A 10,123-nucleotide genomic window follows, 5' to 3' on the forward strand; every position below is an offset into this window, starting at 1 on the left:
AAGACATTTTTGTCTGTTTCTTTTACTTTGTGTACTTATTTAATATTAAAACCTGTATTATTGCTCAGCAAAGAGGAGAATAGTTTCCTTGAAGGAAAAAAAACATCCTTAAGAACTTACTAGTTTAAAGCTGAGCATCTTAGATTTGAAGGTTGCCTTACCTTTTTAAAGATTTTTTTTATGAGTTGATAGAAAGTCCTAAAATCTTAGGAACAGAAACAATTGAGAATTACAAGTCAAATCATTGAAATGGAGCCATCTGACAGTTTATGTGTTCTGCTGTGCCAGTAGTGAGTGGGAACAGTTTCTATGTGGGAATATAATCAGGGTCCTGACTACCCCTAAAGGAGCTCTTTCTTGTTTGGTGTGAAGCCAATACACCAAACCGAGAGTGAGTATCAAACAGTGTGGGCTTTTTTCAATGGCCATGGAATTGCAGAAGTGGGAGCATAGCCTGCAAATCAACTTCTCAGAGCCTGAGAACTGAGGATTCTTAATGAAGGGGCTGGGTATACAGAGGAAAGGGAGAAATATTCATAGCTTTTCTTGGGAAGGGAGGTAGGTTTTTTTGGAATCAAAGAGCCACCTCTTTTCTGCCTGTTTTTGGTCTCTTCTGGCCATTGTCATGGTGATTGTCAACTGTCAAGGTGCCAGTGGGAGTGTCATTTAGCATGGAAATTGGATCATAATGAAGCTAGAGGTTTTTCAGAGGTCAAGCTGCCATTGCGGATTTTGCCAGCTTCAGCCAGTTTAGTCCTAAGAAGGAACTTCTGACCCCAGACATCCTGTTTTCTAAAACTAAGCAGTTAAAGCTGAATGGGAATTTAGCTCTGTCACATAGGCATTTGTTGGGCAACAAAAGCAGGGTAGGGCTCCAGCTAAGCCACGTAGGCACTACGATGGGCAACAGAAAGGTTGGTTTCTGGGCAATTCAGAGAAACCAAGGACAGCTACCCCCAGAACTCAGAGTAGCCAACTGGGCTGCTCACAGGAGATGCCTTAACTGAAAGGTGATCAGACTCCACAGGAGACCCAGAGAAGATGTGGAGGGAGCTCAGAGGCTGTCCTGGAGGAGACGTGGAGACAGCTCAGAGGCTGTCCCAGAGAAGACGTGGAAAGAGCTCAGAGGCTGTCCCAGAGAAGACGTGGAGAGCTCAGAGGATGTCCCAGAGAAGACGTGGAGAGAGTTCAGAGGCTGTCCCGGAGAAGACGTGGAAAGAGCTCAGAAACTCAGAGACTGTCCCGGAGAAGACATGGAAACAGCTCAGAGGCTGTCTGCAAGAAGACGTGCAGAGAGTTCAGAGGCTGTCCCGGAGAAGACATGGAGAGAGCTCAAAGGCTGTCCACAAGAAGATGTGGAGAGAGTTCAGAGGCTGTCGTTACTGCTGCACTTGGCTGTTTTTCTTTGGATAATTATTGCAATCAATTTTAGTAATTCAGGTGTTAAATCACAGTCAAGCACCTATTTACCTAGTGGTGAGTTCCTTTATGTTGTGAGTTCAATGTCATTTGTGGGGACTGTGGTCCAGGGAGGTGTTGGGAGGATGAAGTTTTTTCTGAGTGACTTTGCAAACATAAAAAGTCATCTAATAAAGATGCTAGAAAAGCAAATATCCTAACTTCCTAGTCAGAAAAATGTCCAACACCATGTTTATTTAAGAATTTTTCACAAAAAAAAACAGTGGTGGGAGAAAATTACACATCTGGGCCCAGCAAGTAAGACTTTCCCTTCACAATTGTGCTGTGGGATCCCAGGCCTCGGGGGGCTACTGCCGTCACCGTCCCCAGGCTGTGGGCCCCTTTGTCAGCTGCTCTTCTGAAGGCAGGTCTCCTGTCCATGCCTTCCCCTTTGCTGTCCGGATGGAGATTGGAGACGCAGCATCATATACAGCTGACAGGTGTTAACCTTATTAGCTAATTCTGTTTCACGGGACACGATTTATACACTCCATGGAAATGCTTCTCACTGCCTTTTTTTACCACTTCAAGGTAGAAGTAGGTAATAGTGCTAAAGTCATCTTACTAGAATAACAAAGTCCATGGTTTGTTGTCCCTAAAAATATTTGTATTAGTTTACTAGGGCTGCCATAACAAAATACCACAGACTGAGTGGCTTAAGTAACATAAATTTCTTTTTTTCTTTCTTTCTTTCTTTGTTTATTTATTATTATTATACTTTAAGTTTTAGGGTACATGTGCACAATGTGCAGGTTAGTTACATATGTATACCTGTGCCATGCTGGTATGCTGCACCCACTAACTCGTCATCTAGCATTAGGTATATCTCCCAATGCTATCCCTCCCCCCTCCCCCCACCCCACAACAGTCCCCAGAGTGTGATGTTCCCCTTCCTGTGTCCATGTGTTCTCATTGTTCAATTCCCACCTATGAGTGAGAATATGCGGTGTTTGGTTTTTTGTTCTTGTGATAGTTTACTGAGAATGATGATTTCCAATTTCATCCATGTCCCTACAAAGGACATGAACTCATCATTTTTAAGAAAATGTGGCACATATACACCATGGAATACTATGCAGCCATAAAAAATTTCTTTTCTCACAGTTTTGGAGGCTGGAAGTCCAAGGTCAAGGAATCAGCACATTTGGTCTCTTCTGAGGCCTCTCTCTTTTCCCTTGCCAATGGCCACCTTCTTACTGTGTCCTCACATGATTGTCCTGTGGTCTGTGTGTGGTCTCTGTCCACATCTCCTTGTCTTACAAGGAAATCAGTCTTACTGATTAGGGCCCACCCATATAACCTAATTTTACCTCAATTACCTCTTTATAGGTCCTCTTTCCAAATACAGCCCCATTCTGAGGTACTAGAGGTGAGGACTTCAACATAAATTTGAGGCAACACAATTCTGTCCATGACAATTGTCCACCTTAGTTTTATGGTGAACCAAGGCTGTGAAAAAGACTTGACTTGGGGCCGGGCATGGTGGCTCACGCCTGTAATCCCTACACTTTAGGAGGCCAAGGTGGGTGCATAACCCAAGGTCAGGAGTTCAAGACCAGCCTGGCCAACATGATGAAACCCCATCTCTACTAAAAATACAAAAAGAATGAGCTGGGCTTGGTGGCGGGTGCCTGTAATCCCAGCTACTCAGGTGGCTGAGACGGGAGAATTGCTTGAACCCGGGAAGCGAAGGTTGCAGTGAGCCGAGACTGCACCATTGCACTCAAGCCTGGACAACAAGAGCGAAATTCTGTCTAAAAAAAAAAAAAAAAAAAAGACTTGACTGAAGGCAGTGACCTAAGAGTGAAGCGATAACAGCTGGCAACTGTTCCGCAAGAAGGTGCAAAGCCCCTGCAGGCCTGGGAAGGTGCAGAGCCTGCACCTCAGATTTGACTCCTCTCATAGAATCATGGAATTTAAGTGAACCTCTTCCAGTATTAGGGAATCTTGAATGGAAACTCTAATATCTTAATCCCCAGTGTAACAAACTTTTACTACATTGTTCTCATGATGACAAATGTCTCATCAGAAAATGGCTTAAAAGTATAATTATTATGAAAGCAGACTGGCTTATTTAAAACAAACATAATCTGAAAACTGTAATCCAAAAAGTAGACATCCATATATATATATATATATATATATATATATATATATATATATATTCATTCATTCTCTTTGCTTTGAAACTTTCACTGAATGACCTTTGCCCATTTTATCGGTCACCATATTTTAGTGGTGCTGTGCAGTGACTTTTGTAGAGTAATATCTCTCAAAGTGTGCAATGATCAATATTGTGTTGTCAAAAGATTCTGTAGTCAAAGAAGTTTGGAAAACTTTAATTTTTTGATTAAGCAAAGCAAGAAGTCTGAGTTTCATTTATTGGTTTACTATGAAAAGTGTTAGAGGCTTTATGATGTGCAAGAAGGACATGTGTCATAATATTTCTCAAACCTATTTGACTTCCAATACTTGCTTTTTTGTTTTTTCTTCTTTTGTGGAGAAATTTCAAAAACTTTGGAAAATACTTTTTAAGTGAGATTCAGGAGTTTGATAAGCAAGATGACAAATACTAAAAATATACACTCCAAATATAGACACAATGAATACTAAATAAACTCACTGTTTTTAGTCAACATTATTCAAGGATATCCAAAGTTTTTCATGGCATAAAATGCTCTTTTTCTTTTCAGTAATATGATACATGTGATATTCCTGGAAACTTAAAAAAAAAAATCATCATTTATGTGCTCTCTTGTCAGTTTCATGCTGTATTTTTGATGTAGAAGAAAGAATTTGGTATCTTCTCAGGAATACATTGTCACATAAAAATATGTAAACTCCTTCAGATAAATTCTCACCTTCTGCAGAATGAGTCAAACAGCAGGGGGAGAAGCTGAATCTAGTGTTCGCAGTGAGTGACCTGTCTTCCTCAACACTGTCATCTCATCCATTGTCTTGGATGCTCAAGAAACGGAACTATATAAATGTGGCTTCTGGCCTTCATATATTACAGTGCCAAAGCTTCAAAGAACCAGTTTTTATTTAATACTTACTTTGTTTCTTTGCATTTTTTTTCAAAAATACAATATGTTGTTATTAACTATAGTGACCATGTTGTGCGGTAGATCTCTTCTTGAATATTTCCCCTCTCCTAAATGAAATTTTGAATCCTTTGATAAACATCCCCACTCCCCACCCCAAGTCCAGCTCCTGGTAACCACCAGTCTACTCTCTACTTCTATGAGTTTAGCTTTTTCAGATTCGACATAAAAGTGAAATCATATGGTCTTTCTGTGCCTGGCTTGTTTCATTTAACATAATGTCCTCCAGGTTCATCCACGTTGTCACAAATAATAAGATTTCATTATTTTTTATGGCTGAATAGTATTTCATTGTGTATATATACTACTTTTTAAAATTCATTCATCCACTGATGGACACTTACATTGTTTCCACATCTTGGGCTAATATATAAATAAGATTTAATGTATATGGTGTTGCAGATATCTCTTCGACATACGGATTTCATTTCCTTTGGATATATACCCAGTAGTGGGATTGCTGGTTCATATGGTAGTTCATTTTTAATTTTTGAAGGAACCTCCATGCTATTTTCCATGATGCCTTTCCTTCAAGTCTTCTCCAACACTTGTTATATTTTGTCATTTTATAATAACCATCCTAACACGTATGGGGTGATATCTCAAAGTGTTTTTAATTTGCCTTTCTCTAATGATTAGTAATATTGAGCATTTTTTATATGCCTGTTGGCCTGTATGTCTTCTTTTGAAAAATGTCTATTTGGATCATTTGTCCATTTCTTATTGAGTTATTTTTGGTTGTCTCTTCACTCTGCTAGCACCTATTTTGTATAAGACAATAATGCTCTTACATTTTCAAAATATACAGAAGATAAAAAACATATAGTAAGTATGATACTTGAATTGTAGTGAGACATTTAAAATTTTCCAGGAAACAATTACTGTGTTTTATGGTTATAAGGAAGAAACATGTACATCATTTTGGGGAAGAAAAAGAGAAATTATGGAGTGATAAGTTTAAATTGAGAAAATATCAACAAATACAATATACGAGAGAGGCTCTAGGCATTTCATTTACAAAAATATTGTCCAGTTTTTGTATGTGTGATGTGTGCTTGTTCCCTCTTTCCATATCTATCTCTGTCTGTCTTTCTGCTATGGTTTGAATGTATCCTCCAAAAGTTCATAGATTGGAAACTTAATCCCTCTTCCCTCATGAATAGATTTATGTCAGTCCTGCCCTCATGAATGGATTAATGTCACTAGCATAGTAGTGGGTTCCTTATCATAAGCCCTTTTGCTCTTGCTCTCTCACTATGTGATGCCCCCTGCCATGTTGTTAGGCAGCAAGAAGGCCTTCTCCAGAGGCCAGCATCATGCTCTTGGCATTCCTAGGCCTCAGAGCTAAATACATTTATTTTCTTTATAAATCACTCAGTCTGTGGTATTCTGTTATAGCAACAAAAATATTAAGACACTCTTCCTATTTCCCCTACTCTCCTTCCTCCAGCCTCTTTCTTACACACAAAATGTTACTGAAATACCAGGAGTTCAATCTAGGTTCTGTTACTTGCACACAGAAAGCCAATCACTGAGACAATGAATATTGCCAAGGAAGAAGGCTTTAATTGCATGCTACAGCTAAGGATATGGGATATCAGTCTCAATTCCATCTCCTCAACCAGCCGAAATTAGGGGATTATATAGCAAGGAAGAAATGTAACTATGAGCAGGAAAACAGGAACTAGGGAGGGCTAAGGAAGCAATCATGACAAATAAGGAATCTGGCATCTGGCATCTCATTGTCTCGACACAGTGGTCTGATGAATTTCACTTCTTTGATACTTTTTGAGAGAGCTGAGAGTCCATTTCCTGAGGAAGAAACTCAGAGAAAACAAATGTAAGTTTCAAGCTTCAAGACCAGAAGGATTTGTTTCTATGTTTATATTTTTAAAATCTGTCTGTGGATCTATTGGGTGCATTTCAAAAACACATACAGAGGAAATCCCAGGCGCTGTGCTAGAATTGGGAATACAATGGTGAGTTCAAAGAGGAATAATTTTCCTATTCTCATGAAGTTAATAGTATAGGATAGAGAAAGCAAACACTAATCAAAGAACCACACAAGCATAAGATTGCAACTACAACTAAAAACCATAACCATTCAGTTAAGCTAAGGAGGCCACCATTGTCACCCTTCTCTTAACCTTTAATAATGTATTTTACAGGTAAAATCCTTAAGTAAGTCATATTTGGTTGGGAAGATCAAAGAAATCACCCAGTCTCCCACATCCGAAATTGTGCAGTCTGGACTGTCAGGAACAAAAGTGAAAGAGAGACGTCATCAAGGCCGGGCGCGGTGGCTCATGCCTGTAATCCCAGCACTTTGGAAGGCCAAGGAGGGCGGATCATGAGGTCAGGAGTTCAAGACCAGCCTGGCCAATATGGTGAAACCCTGTCTGTCTCTACTAAAAATAAAAAAATTAGCCAGGCGTGGTGGCAGGCACCTGTAATCCCAGCTACTTGGGAGGCTGAGGCAGAAGAATCACTTGAACCTGAGAGGCAGAGGTTGCAATAAGCCAAGATTGTGCCATTGCACTCCAGCCTGGGAGACAAAGCGAGACTCCATCTCAAAAAAAAAAAAAAAAAAAAGAATGACTAAAATTAAGAAGATTGATGATTCCAAATATTGGTAAAGATGTAGAACAACTAGAACTCCCACATATTGCTGATGAAAATGAAGAATAATACATTACTTTGGAAAATACTTTGGTACTGATTTACCATATGACCCCAAAATCTCACTTGTAGAAATTTATACAGGAAAAATGAAAACATATGCTCACAGAAAGCTTGTATACACATGCTTATGGCAATAAATTTATTTATAGTTGCCTATCAACAAGTGATGAACAAATATATTTTAGTATCTTGATACTACTTTCTAGCTAGAAAAGGAATACTACTAAGCAAAAATAGAGGATGAAGTAGTAATATACATAACATATATGAATTTAAAAACACCATGCTGATTGAAAGAAAACAATTATCAAATACACAGTGTAATATTCTATTCACAGAAAGTTTGAAAACAAAAAACTATAGTCTCTGAAAGAAAACCATTGGTTGCAGGAAGGTGGGGATTCATTGGCCACAAAAGGGACTGAGGAAACTTTTTATGGGTAATGGAAATATTTTATATCTTGATGGTGGCACCAATTATACAACTGTATGTACACATTTGTCAAAATTCTAATCGTATTATACACAACATGAGTGACTTTAACTGTCTATAAATTATATCTCAATAAAATTGGTCTTAAAAGATATATATATACACACACATAATTTAATATGTATTTTATATATATCTCTCTCTCTCTCGACAATGGAGTGAAATGTACTCTTTTTTTTTTTTTTTTTGAGACGGAGTCTCGCTCTGTCGCCCAGGCTGGAGTGCAGTGGCGCGATCTCAGCTCACTGCAAGCTCCCAGGTTCACGCCATTCTCCTGCCTCAGCCTCCTGAGTAGCTGGGACTACAGGCGCCCACCATCACGCCCAGCTAATTTTGTTTTTGTATTTTTAGTAGAGATGGGGTTTCACCATGTTAGCCAGGATGGTCTTGATCTCCTGACCTCGTGATCGCCTGCCTCAGCTTCCCAAAGTGCTGGGATTACAGGTGTGAGCCACCGCTCCCGGCCTGTGAAGTGTATTCTTGTGATTAAATTGTCACTTAGCAAACATCCAGAATGCTAAATATCCATATTATTTCTCTTGTTTTGCCTTTCTCTCACTTTTTCTACAAGCACCATTTTGAAGAAAGCCTCATCAACTTTATTAATTATATTTGTGATCATTTGAAGACACAGAAAATTTTCTTCTGCAAAATATAAAGTCTTCTTTCATCTGCTCTCGTGATCCTTTTATTCTTCTGCCAAGTGATGTACATTAATTGATCAACTGAGTTATGCATGCATTTACTTTTTCACAGATCTTTGTTATGCCTGTACTAGTTCTATGCTAGGGATATGGTATGACACTGAACAGGATCAATATGGTCCCTGCTTTCACAGAGCCCACACCTAATGTGTGGATAGTCAGAACACAGTTACACAAACACAAGTGGGAAATAATTATAACATCTGATAGATCTGAAGTCAGTAGAAAAGGTATTGAAATGGAGAAATAGAAAGGGGCCTCGCTTTGATAATGAAATCAGAGACAGTTTCCCTGCAACTTCCTTAGAGGGCAAAAGCCATGTCCTTTCCTTCTCCTACCCCACCACTGACCCCAATAAAATACCGAGCACAGAATTTTCACTCAATAAATTACCTTAAAATGGATTTCAAAATATTTATAAAGCACATTTGTGTCCATTAAAGTATGAAAGGACATGTATTTGGAGCATAAAACCCAGCACAGGATGGAAACATCACATAAATGAGGATCAAGAATCTAATTATGTAATGGGAAAATTTAAAAGAAATGTCAAGCTGGATAGAGTGTATTCTAAGCAAATGAATACATGTATAATAGCTAAATATTTGGCATTTGAGTTTGGGATGAAAAAATAGATGTAAAAGAAACAGTTTCCTTAATTAAGAATTTAATTTTGTGGGGCCGGGTGCGGTGGCTCACACCTGTAATCCCAGCACTTTGGGAGGCCAAGGCGGGCACATCACGAAGTCAGGAGATTGAGACCATCCTGGCTAACATGGCGAAACCCCGTCTCTACTAAAAAATACTAAAAATTAGCCAGGCGTGGTGGGGGGCACCTGTAGTCCCAGCTACTTGGGAGGCTGAGGCAGGAGAATGGTGTGAACCTGGGAGGCAGAGCTTGCAGTGAGCCGAGATCACACCACTACACTCCAGTCTGGGTGACAGAGCAAGACTCCGTCTCAAAAAAAAATAAAAATTAATTTTGTCCTTTGGAAGGAGAGAAAGAAAAGGCAGTTCACCTAGACCATCACTTGCCTTTTTTAGTTGCAGCAAATGCCAGTTTTTAACCGGATATGTTTGCAATGTGTGAGTTCTTCTCCAAGTGTTAGCTAGGATGAGCTTCCATACACTGCACCCCCAGCTGTGGTAATGCTTTACTCATAGCCTGTCTCTCATCCATCTACCTGAATTCCTGCAGAACACAGTTGGACCAGCAGCTCATATTTAATCCTCTCATATGATATTAACACCACTGGTCTCCATTTTTGATTTACATCTTAAAGCCTCCAGGCTGTAATTGTTTTACCACTGTATTTCATTATTTAACATTCACTACTTTTATGGAAAAAAATGTGTTTACTCCTGTATCTCATCTTAATGTTTCACTAACTGCTAAACTTACATTTTTTATTCATTTGCATTGTTTCGAGAATCTAGATTGTATTTGTCTTTGGAAACAGTCACAGCCACTTCCAGAGGTCATTTCCCATAGACCCCAAACTTCTCTTCTCCCAGCCTTGGAGGTGCTGGGTTCTAGAAGGAGGAGGCAGTGAGTCCAGAAGCCCAGCCATATCAGGATGACATCTACCATGCATCAGTCCTCGTGTGTCTTCAGCACCTCTTTCACATGTCTGTGTCCTTAGAGCTTGCTGGAACCATCTTTGCTTGTCTCTGTGTATTCT

The 10,123-nt window shown here is 39.3% G+C and overlaps 1 long non-coding RNA gene across 2 annotated transcripts; it reads left to right on the forward strand.

The window, feature by feature from the left end:
- Nucleotides 1–716: 716 nt before the first annotated feature.
- Nucleotides 717–7,830, forward strand: FAM74A4 (family with sequence similarity 74 member A4). Of its 2 annotated transcripts, NR_110998.1 has the most exons (3): nt 717–1,476; nt 6,319–6,402; nt 6,731–7,830. It is a non-coding gene; the product is annotated as a family with sequence similarity 74 member A4 (long non-coding RNA). The 2 variants fall into 2 exon arrangements; NR_026802.1 differs by lacking the exon at nt 6,319–6,402.
- The last annotated feature ends 2,293 nt before the right edge of the window (nt 7,831–10,123 follow it).

The sequence above is a fragment of the Homo sapiens genome, chromosome 9, assembly GCF_000001405.40.
Source record: "Homo sapiens chromosome 9, GRCh38.p14 Primary Assembly".
Taxonomy (NCBI): domain Eukaryota; kingdom Metazoa; phylum Chordata; class Mammalia; order Primates; family Hominidae; genus Homo; species Homo sapiens.